The sequence below is a fragment of the Homo sapiens genome, chromosome 8 (assembly GCF_000001405.40).
Source record: "Homo sapiens chromosome 8, GRCh38.p14 Primary Assembly".
Classification (NCBI taxonomy): domain Eukaryota; kingdom Metazoa; phylum Chordata; class Mammalia; order Primates; family Hominidae; genus Homo; species Homo sapiens.
Window position 1 is genome coordinate 93,288,528 of NC_000008.11, and position 16,585 is coordinate 93,305,112.

Genomic DNA, 16,585 nt, shown 5'->3' on the forward strand with positions numbered 1-16,585 from the left:
ATAGGCACAAAAGGCCACATGTTTTATGATTCCATTTTATATGAACTATTCCAATTAGGCAAAGCCTTAGAGACAGAAAGCAGGTTTGTGGTTGCCAGGGGGTGAGGGAGAGGGGAAATTGTGTATGACAGCTGGTGGTGACACTCTCCTGAAGGTTTGTCTGGAAGTTGCAAATTTGAACAGTGCTTTTGGTATGATGAAGAAATCCTAGAACTAGATGGTGGTGATGGTTGTGTAACATCTTGGATGTCTGTAATGGCACTGAATTGTACACTTTAAAATGGTGAAGATGGTGAGCATTTGTTATTTACATTTTATCATAATTTTTGAAAGCATAAATCACAGACTCTGCTTATAGTGCTAGGACACCAGGAAGAAGTGGTTGATACAATAGAGGTGTATATGTCCCACCTGGCAACATGTCCCCTTTGCTGCTATAAGTGGGAAACAGAACATGTCCTAGTCACTCCGGAACCTCACCTGCCCCACCTGTAGGGTGGCAAAAGTTTCAATGAACATCTTCCTATGTGTGGCCGGGTCCTAAGCATCGCTGCCAGCCGCAGGCCCATCAGTACCTGTAGGTGGCTGGCTTCTGTGGTAAAAATCTGCTTGATCACACAGGGCTTCCCTGAGGCCCTCACAGAGCATTGCTTGTGGAAGACATTTTGGACTTCTTCTTCTAGGCCAGCTGCTGGAAAGTATCTCAAATTCTATGGCTCACCCCATAGCTCATCCCACTCCTAAGCCAGGGTCCTGTAATTTCTGCAGAAGGGATCCCCTAACTATATGAATTAAAATCATTTACATTTCTCCTTCATCCAAACAGGAGGACCCCCTAAATGATGAAAATACAATAAAGCATTATTCCTTGAGCATTTACCACGTGTCTGGCACTGTTGTAGGCACTTTACACGTGTTTAGTCATTTAACGTTCAAAACAACGCAGTTGTTTCTTGTGGCGGTTTTACAATATGAGACAATAAAGACCCAGCCTGTTGGTAACTTGACCAAAATCTTCAGCTGCCCAGTACAAACATCAAGATGCCAACCCAGACAGCCTGACTCCAGCACCAGTACCCCAAATCCTGCACTCATCAGCCTTTAAAAAAAGGGGGGCCTGTGGATACCATAGCAGAAGAAACCCTAAAAGCCTTACCAGATATTCTCTGAATTTCCTGGGGGAGGTCAGAGGAGCTGCACTGGGGCCTCAGGTGGCTGGCACTGGGGAGTGTGAGCCTGGAGGGCAGCCATCCACCTGCAGAGCACTTACTACCATGGCAGTGTCCCCTGCATCAAGGATTCGAAAGGAGTTGCTGTGGGGGGCTTGTGCTTGGACAGCGGCACGCTTCTGGATCTAGAAGGCTTTGCGTGTCCTCTAACCTCAATGTGTCTTGGCTACCTAGTGAGCTTCATCTGCATGACTGGGTTGGGAGCAAACTATGTCTTCACAGGACTCTTGGTATCACCAGCAGAGTGAATTTACAAGAAGCTGTATTGTGGCCGTTGGAACCAGGTTGATTCATGAACCAGATATCGTGAACACATTCTATTTTGCTATATTCTTCCCTTTCACAGACCATCCTCTGCATTACTTACAAAGTGACTTTTTGAAATGGAAAAATAGTTATGTCAAACTACTCATAAGCGTCCTTCACTGGTTCCCCATCTCATGAAAGCCTCCAGCTCTAATCAGCTCTCAAGCCCCAAAGATCTCTGGGCACTGTTCTGTTCCTTCTTTCCACTGCTTTCATACGTCACAACAGACTGATCAGCTTTTTCAATGTCCCCATTCACCTACACCTGCTGGAGGGCATGTGTTTCATGCCAAGCACTGTACCAGGCGGGACACCGACCCTTCCCTGGAGGGCAATATAGTCTGGCAGGTGACAGAGACCCAGGAAAAAAAATTAAAAAATAATAAAAAAGCAGCACATAAAGGGAATTGTAGAAAGAAATAGGAGGATACTCTATAGAGAAGAGAGAGGGCACCCTGCCTAGTGATCAGGGAGGGCATCACAGAGGAAGTGCATTGTCAACTAAATCTGATTATTTACCTCATGGTTTTCACCTAAAAAGCAGAATAACCTTTGCAATAGTCCTTTTGTATTTTATTTTATTTTTTTTAGATGGAGTCTCACTCTTGTTACCCACGCTGGAGTGCAGTGGCACAATCTCAACGCACTGCAACCTCTAGCCTCCTGGGTTCAACCAATTCTCGTGCCTCAGCCTCCCACATAGCTGGGATTATAGGTGCCTGCCACCCTGCCTGGCTAATTACATAAATTTTTAGTAGAAAGGGGGTTTCACCATGTTGGCCAGGCTGGTCTTGAACTCCTAACCTCAGGTGATTCACCCGCCTTGGCCTCCCAAAGTGCTGGGATTACAGGTGTGAGCCACTGTGCCCGGCCCCTTTTTTCTTATAATATGTTTTCAAATATTCAAAGTATAGTAAGTAGAACTCTCAGCACTGCTTAATATTTCTGAGACTATTTTTTTTTTTTTTTTTTTGAGATGGAGTCTTGCTCTTGTCGACCAGGCTGGAGTGCAATGGCACTATCTCGGCTCACTGAAACCTTGGCCTCCTGGGTTCAATTGATTCTCCTGCCTCACCCTCCCAAGTAGCTGGGATTACAGGTGCCTACCACCATACCCAGCTAATTTTTGTATTTTTAGTAGAGATGGGGTTTCACCATGTTGGCCAGGCTGCTCTCAAACTCCTGACCTCGTGATCTGCCTGCCTCAGCCTCCCAAATTGCTGGAGTTATAGGAGTGAGCCACCACTCCCAGCCAAGACTATTTTAATTTTATTATATTTCATTTTCTTGTTTAATTTCCCGGGTGTGTTAGTCCATTTTCATGTCACTATCAAGGAAAACCTGAGACAGGGTTGTTTGTGAAGAAAAAAGTTTTCTGGCTCACAGTTCTGTAGGCTGTATGAGAAGCATAGTGTCAGCATCTGCTTCTGGTGTGGCCTCAGGAAGCTTTCAATCATGGTGCAAGTTGACCAGGAGCCAGCATGTTACACTGTGAGAACAGGAGCAAGAGAGAGTGGGGGAGGGGCCACACCCTTTTAAGCAACCAGATCTCCTGTGAACTGACAGCAGGAACTCACTCATCACCAAGGGGAGGGCGCTAAGTCATTCATGAGGGATCTGCCCCCATGATCCAATCACCTTCCACCAGGTCCCACCGCCAACATTGGGAATCGCACTTCGACATGAGATTTGGAGGGGACAAACATCCACACCATATCACCTGGCTTTGGAATCAGAAAAGCTTAGATCCAAATCTCTGTTGTTCTATTTACTAGCCCTGCTTCTTGAATAAATGACCCAACTTTTGTGAGCCTCAGTGTTCTCATCTGTGTAACAGATGTGATAATACCCACCTCACCTCGTTGTCTCTGTTTAATAAGGTAATGTACATAGTGTGCTAAGTGTAGGTCTGGACACATATCAGGGTACCACAGGTATTAGCTGCTAATATTTGTATTATTAGTACTCTTCAAATGGTTGGGACACAAATCCCATGGCCTAACTATATCCTGATTACAGCAGGAGGTTATGAAGATAATTATCTTTATCTAGACTCTGAATACTTAGAAATCAATGTGCTTATTTCTAATATAGTTGATAAGTGATTCAGCTGATTTTAAAAGCTGTCTTTGGAACCTATACAAAGTGTGCCCTTGTGATATGTCCCATTGTACCTTTATGTTTAGCTACACCAACCAACCCCTATAATAAATTTAGATCAAAATATGATGCCACAGAAGAATTGTCCAGAGGAATATTCCATGGCCACTAAACAGTTCTAACCTGGAATAAATGAAAGAATAAATTAAAAAACAATAATAAACTAATTTTGAAAACCTTAAATATATCCATGTAATGTTATCTGAGGGCCAACCTCAACAGGGTGCTTACTATGCATTTTAGTAAAATGAGGAAATAAACAACGTGGAGAAAGTTAGGAGAGAGAGAGAGAAAGAACATCATACATTTAAGGTTTTCAAGGGATGTTGGGCCTGCATGTTTTTGGAAAGAAACATCTGTCAGGGTTTGCGAACTCACCAGGGTGCGCAGGATTCACTTGTTTAATGTTGGAAGAGATTGTAGAGTCAAAAGCCCCCAGGCAAATTGAACTGGGCTGGTTGCCCCTGGGGAAAGCAGAAATTTAGCTGAATGCCTGATGCCATGTTGGTCCCAGCTAACAGAACTTCTTGATACTAATGAGACCCCACCATTTCAGAGCAGTTACATTAATTGACATTAATCAAAAAGTCTATTGGAAAGTTCACCCATTCTTCTAGAGTGTCAGTCAGAGAGTGTGTATGGGGCCCCCTCTGACAGCTAGCAAATGTATTGCTTTCAGGGGCCTGAACCTTCTTGGAGGTTTAGGAATTCCTGCTTACCTTCATGCATCTCAGTCACCTAGCTAACCTTCCAGTGGTTTGTGAAACATCTGGTATTCCTGTTATCTGTATTAGCAATGGAAGAATAGAACCCAAAACGCTGTTATTTATGCTTACAATTGCCTTGGACATTTTCATGATGGAAATCTCTAGATGCTCCTGGTTCTTTTACCCATTCCAACTAAGCTACCTGATCAACTCAGGCAAAAGGGAACAGTTCTTAAGCCCAGACAAAGCCTCTTGTTGCAGGCTGCCCTGCCAGTCTCTCGTTAGTTCCAATGGTTATCGGAAACCAGACAGCATAATGGGTCAATTTCACAGATCATTATCCAAGAACTAGTGGAACCTCAAGAATTTAGTTGTGGGCAAGAATACAAACTTTTTATATGTATCTAAAATTTGAGAAAGTTACTGGCATTGAAAATTGTTGAGCTTTGGCCAGAATTACCTGAAAGGAAATAAGAAATGGCCTTTGCTATATAATATTACTTGTGGTAGTAATTAGGATAGCTTTACTGTTTGCTTAGGAATTTTCTGAGGCTTCTTTGAAGGTAAGAACATGATTTTCGCAACGTCCCTGCCAGAGCCATGATTTTATGAGTCCACGATCAGGCAGAACAGCATGCATAAGCAGTCTCCCCAGAAGATTTCTGATCATTCCAGTTTGGCTAGACCAATGTAAAGAGCTCCTTTTTCTGTTGGTTTTCTCCAGGCAGTCTGTACTAAGACAAGCACAGGCCATGGCAGCTGTGCAGATGAAGGCTGACTGCAAGGTAAGAAGTCACTAGGCTCTCTTTAGCTAAACCTCAAAGAAAGGTGCTATTCAGTTCAAATTCTGGGAGGTGTGAGGGTTCCTGTTTCACTGTGGTTGGTTTGCCCATATCCAGCCATGATCAGAGAAGGGAGAGGCTTCAGCCAAGTCTGAAACCCACTCAGCCCCCGTGGGATTTGAGTTTAGCTTTTTTAAAACAACATTTTGATGAGTTGTGTGTAAATGAATCAGAAACATATGGATTCAATTTCCCTTGAAGTGTGTGTCAGTTTAAAAATTAAGGGGGGAAAATGTGCAGAACTTGGGTATGTCCCAAAGGCAAAATGTTTAAAAAATAATGCAAGACGCTTTGTAGAACAAAAAGCACACCTTCCTCCTTGAAGTGGAGCGAATGCAGCAGGCTGAGAGGCAAGTGCTGTGACTCTGAAGTTAACAAGTATGCATGGGGCCTGGCTTTCCCAAGGCTTGCTGTTGTCCTGCTGGCAGCCTCCTGCCATGTCCTTGGACCTTGTGAACAACCCCCAGCAAATGGAAAGCAGACACCATCCAACAGGGAGGCCAAATCATATCTAGGCTGAAAATTAAATCACTAGGCAAACAACAGATTTTAAAACGAGGTATACTTGCGCTTTCTTTTTAAGTTAATTTAATTCTAAATAGAGGACAATCTGCAGACTGAAAAATAAACTAAAGCTGAGAAATATAAATCATGAATTCTGTCTTCTGAACCCTGAAGATCCTCGGGGCCAGAGGCTATACACATCGGTGAAGGAGAGTATTTTGAACTTAAACCTTGCCTGGGAGAGCCCTGGGTTTCAAATTCATTTATAAAACATTTACTGAGTACCTATGGTGTACCAGGCACTGTTCTCAGATCCAGAAATATAAAAACACAGAGAAACTGTTACTACCTTCAAGCAGCTTTCAGTTTCTAAGAGAAGGGCATAGATGCACATGCAAATGACTGCAATTGAGTGGTCTGGTTACTAAGATAGAAGGAGATACATTATACAGGTTGTGTAACAACGGCCAATTCTACCTTCACTTGATCTCCTTGATAAAGAGGGTTGTTTGGCTACAGCACCTTATTTGCAGGAGCAGCATGGGAAGGAGACTTCAGGATTAGGTTAGTTGAGACCCTCTTAATCTCACCAGATATCAAGGCAGCACCTAATATTGGGCCTTAATTTTAGGCCTTACACCATACTGATACTTGAGAGAATTCTTGGAAAATAAGTGAGTAGCTTTCACTGTAAGTCTGAGCCCTTCAGGGTATGGTGGCATCCCAGACAGAACAGGGAGAGCCACAGTGAGAGACTAGAGGCATAAAGCTGCCTGGAAAATTGGTTAGATATTTTGGGAAAAAAAATTAACAATTCCTTTTCACATATTTGTAGAAAAGAAACCACAATATGTCTTTAAAGGTTACAATATTTAAACATTAGAACTAATGAAAGAAGAGAAGATGTTAATTTAGAGCAGCACTATCCAATAGAAATACAATGTGAGCCAGAAATGTGAGTCATTTACGTAATTTTAAGCTTTCTAGTAGCCACACTGGAAAAATGGCAAAAATAAATAGGTGAAATTAATCTTAATGATATACTTTATTTAACTTAATATATCCAAAGTATTACCATTTTAAAATGTAACAATATAAAAAATATTAACAAGATATTTATATTCTTGTTTTCTTACTAAGTTTTTGAAATTCAATATGTATTTTTACAGATACAGCATAGCTTAATTTGGACCAGCCACACATTTGAAGTGCTCAATACTCACATTTAGCTGATGGCTACCATATTGGACAAAACAGATTTAGAGCATCTTGAAATGAATTAAATTTGGAACAAATGCTATACAGTCTTTTCATCTGTAACTCAGCTGTGAAAATAGCAATATCTCACAATTGAGTATAAATTTTTAGACAAGAGGTGGAAAATGACTGACATTTGTATTGTTACTGCCACTCAACTTTTTACTGTAACAACAGCAGATGTTACTCCTAGATCTCAACACATTTTCCTACTAAGTCTGCAGGCAGCCATTGTGAAAGAATTGAATCTGCCATATAAGGTGAGTCCAAACACCTTCCCTTTCCTGAACATATAGCCACTGCTTTAAAACCACAATGGATAAGTAAATCTTAAGTCTCTATTCCATACCAAGCTTTAAACACTAGGTCTTAAGACACTAGAAATATATGCAAAAAGAAGCTATTGAGAGTAGGTTTTAAAAAAACTCTTCAATCAGTATCATTGATTAGATCTTCTAGATGACAATTATAACTTGGCTACTTGACCAAATAACTATATACTTTATACCTAATGTTACACTCAACCGTCTAACAGACCTTATTTGTTTTTAGAATTCCACAGAGAATACCCTGATGGTTTTCCACACATATTTAGTTTTCCACACATTTTTACACTAAGTTCTCTGGAATATATACATAACTGTAATAAATAAACTGTGTAGCAAATCCCTTAGGAACAACAATCCAATGATTCTTACACACATACACTCACACACACACATATTCTATTGCTATACTTACAAAATATATATTTGGTAGGCCTATATTACTTGGAAAATAACATCCTATCCAATTGAACATAGTTTTGCCAAGTCTGAATACTTTGGTTAAGAGATCTGTTTCATTTTGACCATGCATTTTTAAATATTCCTATGGGTTTTCTCCCCAGTAAAAGTATTTTCTCTTCTGGTTGAACCCAGATTTTTCTGTCATCTTAAAAATACCATTGCCTAAGAATTCACATTTCCTATCATGTATTGCTATGTGACATGGGAGAAAACTTCATTTTTAACATAGATAAGAAAAAACCTAGGAAAGGAGATGCAAAGATTCAGAAACCTTATTTTCACATTATTCTTAGTGTTTTAAAATTAAAAAAACATTAAGACCAGTTCTTAAATATGTGCCTTATGATCTAATAAGGAAAATATCACGCTGAAAGTGTGTAGAACTTAAAGCATAGGAAGGTGAAGAAGGCTGTAGGGTACTATGGTCTAGCAAAGTCAGGTTGTGCAGCCAGAAATAAAGCACAGTTTACAGAATTGTTGAAATATTTGTGAGGCAATTCTAGAAAGCTCTCCTGGTGGTTAACTAATAAAATAATCCATAGAACACCGTATGGGCCAAGCCAACTTCACTCTCCGTTAGTACACATTTAAATGGCTTGCTTTCTGATCATATAAAAGTTCACTTACTTGACTAATCTTTTTCCCATAGAACATGGGCATTTCAGTCTGAAAGTTCCCCCAATCCATCATTTAAAATTTTATCTTTGACATACGTTAGGCAAATAGAGAAAAATTAAAAAGTAATGAGGAGGGGGCCCAAATGCTTTGAGAAGTTCCCACATATGTGCTAATTAGTGATTCCATCTGAAAATATTCCCAGCAAGCTGGATGGGTAAAGCAGACTGAGATAAATAATGCAAAGACCCTGTGGCAGTGTCACAAACACCATAATCAAGGCTGCTTGTGAGTTCAGAGTCTCCAAGTGCTGTGGCTTAGAAAAAAACATCAATGAAGTAAAACTGCTCTAACAGCCTTAGGGTTATCACACACATCCATACACACACATACCCCACTTTATTCTTTCAACCTTTTGGTTCACACTAAGGAACTCTTTGAGTGTTTATACCATACCCATCCCCCACTTTCAGGTCTGTTTTGACGTAAGGCAGAATAGAATTTCTTACATCTAGTTTGCAGTGCTGTTAAAATGTGCAGTCTTCATTGAAACACTGGTCCAGCTACATAAGCACATGGAGATGATTAGCTGCGAAATAAGGCATTAGTCCACAGCCTCAAACACCAAATGAAATACTCTCCGATTATAGGGACTGCAACCTCTGGAAGTCCCTTTTGTGAAATGACAAGCCTGCTGGTTTAGTCTTCTGATACAATGCCCAACCGTGTTTTTTAAGTACAATCGAGTTTCATCAACCAAACCAGAAGTACTGCTGGTTGAAATGCATTCTGTAAAGTCAGTGGAAAAATAACGCTAGTAGCTCCATAAATGAGGGGTAAATAGCACTATTATGATAATTTCTGGTTTTAATGCTTTCAGCTAACACAAGAAGACTATGATTTGGAAGTTGCAATGGAGATATTAGAAGAAACACCTAGATACTTCACTAGAAGTGCTGCAAAAATGACAGCATAAATTGTGCAATTTCACAACCCTCCAACTCCCCCCCACCGCAAAAAAAAACTACAAGCATTTAACGGCCTTATGAGTATGTATGTGACATGTGTATTTTATTAGAGGCAGTTCTCAGTTTCCCTCATCCAAGCTGTTAAGATCGTATAAGACTAAGTCAAAGCTGATCCTCCTTCTAAACCCGCCTCTCCCCACAGCCCAAAATGTGCACTCTGTGAACATAATTGCCCAAGGAAAACGGAAGCTTGAGCTCTCCGAGCATCCGTATTCATGGGAGCAGCACTTTTGTACTTTGCAAGACCAGAATGGGCTCCCCACCTGTATTGGTGACCCATTTAACCGGACTGATTTTACTGCTTTGTCAAACTTATTGGGCATGAAAATAAAGTCTGCTCTATAGAAGTAAACAAAGAGCCTGGAAACAGTTTGAAGCCTGCCTGCTAATGAAGGCCCTTGGTCACTTCCTCCTTGAAAATCAAGGCTTCCTGCAAAAAGAATAAACTGCCCTCCATGACAGAGAATCAAGTAACCAGGTATTTACATTTAGACAAGATTCAGTCTCGTCTGGCAGCCTAGAAAAACGCACAGCTGTCAAGAATCAAATAAAGGCTTTCAAAAAATTTTTCTCAAGAACCAAGCATACCATTTGAAGAGCAAAGTAGTGAGCAATTTCCACTAACGTCACAGGAATTTTGAAAACTAATTCTGTTTGAAAGACACAACCTGCCCATACCCATCAAAAAGTCTATGGTTCTAGCCTTTATAAAATTATTATAAATTTTAACATACTAGATTTGTCACTCCCGTATATATATATATATATATTTTGCTTTAATGAAACAAAAGATCTAGTGTACTGACTTTTCACTATAAAAGAAATGTTTAACATTTGGTAAAAAAGTTTTTTTTTCCTTCCTACATATATCTAGGTATATATTAAGAAGTTTGATGAGGATCTCAGAATTAGTTGCTATCTAATTTCAAAATCTTGCTATAAAAGATCTTTATCTCTTTCATACATGGGAGTTCATTCATTTTTATCCATTTTAATATACTAGAGGTTTCACTTGTGGTGTGCCCTATGATTGAGGAGTTTTGAGAAATATCTGGAAGATCATGGGGACAGGGTGTATGGAATCATGAGGTTGCCTGGATGACACTGGGAGCTGGAAATGGGTGGGTAGCAATTCTGAGTGCAGCAAGACTGCCTCAGCCTTCTTGGCTGACTAGGTCCTGAGGAAAGGCATATGCCAAAAAGCAGAGTAAAATTAATAAATAAGTGGATAGATAAATGCACCCATCCATCCGTAGATGCAGTGTTCAATCATTCAGTTAGTATTTATTGAGTTCCTGGCACTGATAATACAAGTGTTAGATACATCGAAGGACCCAGAAATCCCTGCCCACCTGGAACTTGTAATCCGGTGGGAGTGGGGAGTGGTAGGGATAGAATATATATAAGCTAAATATGCACGTGTGTGTGGGTGTGCACACGCGCGCTAAAGAAAAACAAAAAAGTCAGGGGAGGGAATGTGAGACTAAGGCGGTGTGTTGACATTGTAGATAGGCTGGCCAAGCAGGTCTCCCTGACAAAATGGCACTTGAGTTCAATGCTGGAAGAAATGAGGAAGATCTAAGGGAAGAGCTTTCCATGCAGAAGGATTCCCAAATGCAAAGGCCTGAGTCAGATCACGTCTGGTGTACTGAAGCTGCAGCAGGGTGAGTAGGTGTAATGTAGAAGAAGATGAAGTCAGCGTGAAATGGTGAGGCAGGCCAATCAGCACCTGGCAGACCAATGTGGCCCCATCTACTTTTACTTGATGAGAAGCCACTGGAGGATTTGAGAACAGGACTGACATGATCTCACTCATGCTTTAATAGGATCAGCTGTCAATGTGGTGGAAATAACCGCAGGAAGGCAGAGAGCAGCAGAGAGGCTTATGAAGAGGTTCCTGCTGTATCCAGGTGTGAAGTCCTGGTAGGATAGACAGCGGGACAGCACGAGGTTTAAGTAAGAGGAGTACCTAGAGCAGAAGTTTAATTTCAGGAGGCACTCGGCATCAGGGCTGTTTATGTGTAGTGTCAGCAGGGTCTTCACTTGCATGACTGAGAGTGAAACTTTGTGGCCTACGCACCTCTTGCGCCTCACCTGGGTCTTGGACCTGTTGGACAGGGTAAGGACAGTTGAATTCAGAAGGTGGCGCTGACAGGATGTGCTGATGGTGTGAAGTGCGGATGAAAAAGAAGAGTCCAAGATGACCCCATGTGTTTTAAACTTGTAGAAAGAGATTTTCTGTAGAAAGGCCATTTTCTGACAGGAGTAACCTGTTAGGCGAACAGGTTTGAAGGAAGAATACCAGAGCTCAGTTTTGGTCATGTAACATTTTAGATATTTATTAAACATCTATGTGAAGATACATGAGTCTGGAGTTCCAGTGCAGGGTATAAGGGTAAGCAAAAATGACAGTTACCTGGCCTAGTGGAATATATTAATACAATCCAGTGTGGGTATGGACAAATAGGGCAATACACTACAACATGTTACTTGCCATGAAATGATACTCTGAGACTGCTATAAAAATTCATAGAGAAATATCCCGCCTGGACTTGAGGGCCTGGCAAATAGCGGCCACTTAATAAATACCAGTTGAGGGCCAGGCACAGTGGCTGATACCTGTGATCCCAGCAGTTTGGGAGGCCGAGGCTAGAGGATCACTTGAGCTCAGGAGTTTGGGACTAGCCTGGGAAACATAGGGAGACCCTGTCTCTACAAAAAATAAAAAAGCATGATGGCATGCATCTGGGGTCCCAGAGGCTGCAGTGAGCCAAGATCGCACCACCACACTCCAGCCTGGGCAACAGAGCGAGACCCTGTGTCAAAAAATAGGTAAGTAAATAAATAAATAAATACTGGTTGAATATATGGACACTACTTATTTATTTATTATCTGTTTATTTACTGATTTTACTCTGTTTTATCATTGATTTATTTTCCCAAGACCCAGGCAAGAGGCCAAAAAAACTGAGGCAGAGAAAAATCCAGAAGAAGAGACATTTATGTTGACACTTTAAGGAAGGACAAGATGATATGGTTTGTCTGTGCCCCATCCAAATCTCACCTTAAATTGTAATAATCCCCACGTGTCAAGGGCAGGGCCAGGTGAAGATAAATGAATCATGGGGGCGGTTTCGCCCATACTGTTCTCCTCCTGGTAGTGAATAAGTCTCATGAGATCTGATGGGTTTATAAAGCAGAGTTCCCCTGAACATGCTCTCTTGCCTGCCACCATGTAAGATGTCCCTTTGCTCTTCCTTTGTCTTCTGCCATGATTGTGAGGCTTCCTCAGCCATGTGGAACTGTGAGTCTATTAAACCTCTTTCCTTTATAAATTACTCAGTCTTGGGTATGTCTTCATTAACAGCATGAGAACAGACTAATACATAAGAGCTAGCAATGTATTAGTGGGTTTGAAGGAGATGGTATAGAAAAGTGGGTTTGGAGGAGATGGTACAGAAAAAATTTTTAGAGGCAAAAGATAATATGTGAGAAGGCCCAGGGAGATTGTTGCCAGTATTATCAGAACCATTGGCAAATGATGCAGACTCAAAATCAGACATCCTTTTCTTCCCATGGAAGAGTATTGTAACATCAGCACTTGGGCATTGGCAGCTTTTGTGAGGATAGCACAACAGTAGTGCTCTGGTGTGTCCCTGGCATAGCTCTGGCCCGGATATCAGCAGTGGGAAAAAACATGGCTACAAGAGCCAAGGGGGACTAGAATGGTAGATGCCACATGGTAGGGAGTAGAGAACCCCCTTGTTCTTGCAAGATTCTAGAATTTGTGGGGAGAAATTGAGGGATCTGAAGCTGGAGCTTTTCAAGAGCAAGTTTAACAGCAAAACCAGAAAAAGAAATAGAAAACGGAATTGTAGAAACATAAGTTATAGATAAAAAATAAATTGATAGTACTTGTGTATTTTTTCAAAAAGCTTTCTTTCGAATTGATTGTTTTCTTTACTCCAAACAGGAACATTTTAAGTTAGAGAGGGCAAGTGAATGAAGAGGGTCACAGAGTTAATGAATTACTGAATACTATAGGGACAATTAATGGCAAATGGGGGGATTTGAACACAGGACCCTTACTACACAGTTTATGGCTTCATTTTGTTTGGTTTTTGAGATGAGGTGTCACTCTGTCACCCAGCCTGGAGTGCAGTGGCACAATCATGGTTCACTGCAGCCTCAACTTCCCAGGCTCAAGCCATCTTCCCACCTCAGCCTCCGGAGTAGCACATGGCCACCACACCGATTTTTTTTTCTTTTTTTTTTTTTTTTTGTAGAGACAGAGTCTCAGTATGTTGCCTAGGCTGGGCTCAAACAATCCTCACACCTCAGCCTCCCAAAGTGCTAGGATTACAGACATGAGCCACTGCGCCTAGCCCAGCTTATGTTCTTTTAGACCAATCCTTGAAATACATAAAGGCAGATAGGAGAAGAGAGGGGAAGAGGAGAAAAGAGCAATGGATACAACTTGTTTGAAGAAAGGACAGTTTGCATCTCCCAGAACAGTAATATAACAAAGCCATATGTAGACATGCATTTTGATAATAAATTTATTTTCATGCAGTCCAAAATAAACTTCAGTATATTTTTCAAGAAACTGTACTGCTTGCTTGTAGGAGAATAAATTAGTATGAACCTTCCAGTGGTACTTTCTGATTTAAACATCCTTAAAATCAGAATTTTAAGTACTTAAAAGCCTTAAATTCTGATGACCATACCAGTTGGTGTGCTTTGGGCTGTAAGTAACCGAAACCCCCAGTCAAGCTGTTTTGGACATGAGGAAATGGATTGCTCACGGAACTAGATGTGGAAAGGTTGAGCAAGTTGCTTTCTTAATTTAGTCCAGGGGCTCTACTTTTGATCTTTATGGCTGTCTTTCCCATGTGTGGGCTTTTCTGTCAGGCAAAGAATGAGGAGTTCTGGGGTTTCTGAGGTCTCATATCCATACCTACCAGAGCAAAAGAGGGAAGTCACTTCTGAATATCCACTCCAAAAATGATGAATAACTTTTTCTGAAGCTCCCGGTAAACTTTTCTTGCTCTCTCAGGATCCCAAGCCAGTCCTGAATCAAATATTGACAAAGGAAATATAATTGCTGATTAAAGTCGATCCTAGAGTTAGGGTGGGCTCAGTGTCTCCCATGGCAATTGGCTGCATGGATGAGAGATGGAAAACTAAAGAGAACTGAGACCCTTGTTAGGAAAGAGAAAGAAGAAAAAGGATATACTGACAACCAATAATGTCTACTGTCATGGCATTTGACCCCAAAATTTCACATCCAGAAGGTTATCCTAAGGAATTTTAATGCATGCTTATAAATGCTTAATAATTATGAGAATGTTTATCACAGTCTTATTCATAACAATAAAATATCAGACATAACAAATGTTCAAAAATAAGGAGTTGATTAAATTTTGATAGAATATTGTAGTTGTAATATTGTATGTATCTATTATATCTATAATATTTCTACATTCATAAAAATATGCTAGAGTTCTTTAAAGACTTGAAAAATGTGTTCACAAGACATTATTACATCAAAAAAGCCTACTTCAAAGAAATATGTTCAATTTTTTTAGGAAAAATACACTGTATGTTTAGGCAAAGAACTAAACAGATATATACTGAAATAAATGTTAACAATTGTAAATTACATTTGAGTAATGGGAAGAAAAGATTTTTTTTCTGATGTTGGTATTTTCTAAATTTCTTATAATAAGCACATATTGTGAGGAAAAAATAGTTATTATTTTAATGCCATGTAATGATATTTTGGGGTTTTATACTTAAATTCATATATAATATTTTTTTCTTTTTGGCCTGGTACTTCTTAGCCACTGCTGCTTGGAGTTATTACAGGTCAATTTGATATAGCTTAGGTCAACTCACTATGTGGAAAACTGTTCTGCTAGGCTGCTAGGTGAATTACCACAGCCAATCTAAGCAGCTGATGTGAAAACAAGACTTTTAGAGATCCTCAAATTAGGGTCATTCTAAAAATAAACCAAGTTATTTACAGATAATCTAGGCAGTTCACTATCATGTGAGAGGTGAGATTCCTTCAAAGCTACTCATGAATTTACATTTAATGATAATAACCATCATTTGTTGAAACTTATAATGTGACTGGCATTGGGTAAGGACATTTATTAATATCCTTTGATTATATATTGCTAACCACATATTACTGATGAAGAATCAGGGGCTAAAGAGTTTAAGAAACATGAGATGGTTCACACAGATGGTGGAACTGGAACTGAACCAGATCCTACTTACTGCAAAGCCTGTGGGCCTCTCCTATGGCCTTACTTCTCTCCAATCAAGCCATGTGAAATGCCTTCATTCTACAACTCTCACCCATCTCAAGAAATACCACTTTTTATCACCCCAAACACGCCAACATTTCATGGATATGTTTTGAAAATATATAGATACATTGATAATTTTATTAATAAAAACATTACATATGCTGAAATTTAAATATTGTTCATAAAAACTGTGGTCCAAAATGCCTTCGTTAAACAGATGTCCCCCTAAATGGACAAATAATCACGAACACATTTCTAATACGGAATCTGCCTTTCAACAGCATGCATTATTTCCACAGAATAAAACCTGAAGTACACTTAACCCTTGAACAACACAGGCTTCAACTGCACGTGTCTGCATATACGCAGGTTTTCTTTCTGTCTACCATCCCACCCTGGACACAGCAAGAGCAGCCCCTTTTCCTCCTCCTCGTCAGCCTGCTCAGTATGAAGACCACAAAGCTGAGGACCTTTATGATGATCCACTTCTATCTAATGAATAATAAATATTTTTTCTTTTCCTTATGATTTTCTTACTAACATTTTCTTTTCTCTAGCTTATTTATTGTAATAATATAGTATATAATACATATAACATACAAAATATATGTCAAACAACTATTTATGTTATCAGTAAGGCTTCCAGTCAACAATAGGTTATTAACAGTTAAATTTTGGGGGAGTCAACAGTTATACGTAGATATTCAACTGCATACGGAGCCAGGATGCCTAATCCTCATGCTGTTCAAGGGCCGACTGTAATCCATTATGGAGAATTATTTTTCCTAGGCTAAATCATGGCCATATGAGTAGGGCTTCCAATCTAGTCTCT

The 16,585-nt window shown here is 40.1% G+C and overlaps 1 long non-coding RNA gene across 3 annotated transcripts in view, besides 7 other annotated features; it reads right to left on the reverse strand.

The window, feature by feature from the left end:
• Nucleotides 1-3,333: part of a meiotic recombination region, noted in NCBI's record as "this region was identified as a recombination hotspot within the HapMap YRI population", that runs on past the window's edge. NCBI's record gives the evidence for it as "EXISTENCE:nucleotide sequencing assay evidence [ECO:0000219][PMID:20981099]".
• Nucleotides 1-4,421: part of a biological region, named in NCBI's record as "meiotic recombination hotspot K", that runs on past the window's edge.
• The window catches only part of LOC107986956 (uncharacterized), a 90,023-nt gene that overhangs the window by 38,292 nt on the left and 35,146 nt on the right, over nt 1-16,585 (reverse strand). Inside the window, exons 2-3 of one of the 3 annotated variants that reach the window (XR_001745997.1) lie at nt 14,398-14,507; nt 4,002-4,159 (exon numbers count right to left, since the gene is read on the reverse strand). This is a non-coding gene — a long non-coding RNA (uncharacterized LOC107986956). Of the gene's footprint in view, nt 1-4,001; nt 4,160-13,981; nt 14,508-16,585 lie in introns of those variants that run through there. The other 2 variants (XR_001745996.1, XR_007061008.1) reach the window with 2 other exon arrangements.
• Nucleotides 664-4,421: a meiotic recombination region, noted in NCBI's record as "this region was identified as a recombination hotspot within the HapMap CEU population". NCBI's record gives the evidence for it as "EXISTENCE:nucleotide sequencing assay evidence [ECO:0000219][PMID:20981099]".
• Nucleotides 838-3,412: a meiotic recombination region, noted in NCBI's record as "meiotic double-strand break mapped by DNA meiotic recombinase 1 chromatin immunoprecipitation followed by single-stranded DNA enrichment and sequencing in the germ cells of some male individuals with the PRDM9 A/A, PRDM9 A/B and PRDM9 A/C genotypes". NCBI's record gives the evidence for it as "EXISTENCE:chromatin immunoprecipitation-seq evidence [ECO:0000229][PMID:25395542]".
• Nucleotides 1,308-2,707: a meiotic recombination region, noted in NCBI's record as "crossovers mapped in sperm cells of males of European and African ancestries; recombination frequencies vary with PRDM9 genotypes, with PRDM9 A/A > PRDM9 A/N, where N is a non-PRDM9 A allele. Low recombination frequencies are observed with some PRDM9 alleles.". NCBI's record gives the evidence for it as "EXISTENCE:DNA detection assay evidence [ECO:0005519][PMID:18650392, PMID:20818382]".
• Nucleotides 1,998-2,010: a nucleotide motif, noted in NCBI's record as "nucleotide motif; similarity, but not exact identity (7/8 nucleotides), to the predicted 13-mer PRDM9 A binding motif (LD hotspot motif), CCNCCNTNNCCNC, found near the center of the hotspot". NCBI's record gives the evidence for it as "COORDINATES:motif similarity evidence [ECO:0000028][PMID:18650392, PMID:19165926]".
• Nucleotides 2,354-2,366: a nucleotide motif, noted in NCBI's record as "nucleotide motif; similarity to the predicted 13-mer PRDM9 A binding motif (LD hotspot motif), CCNCCNTNNCCNC".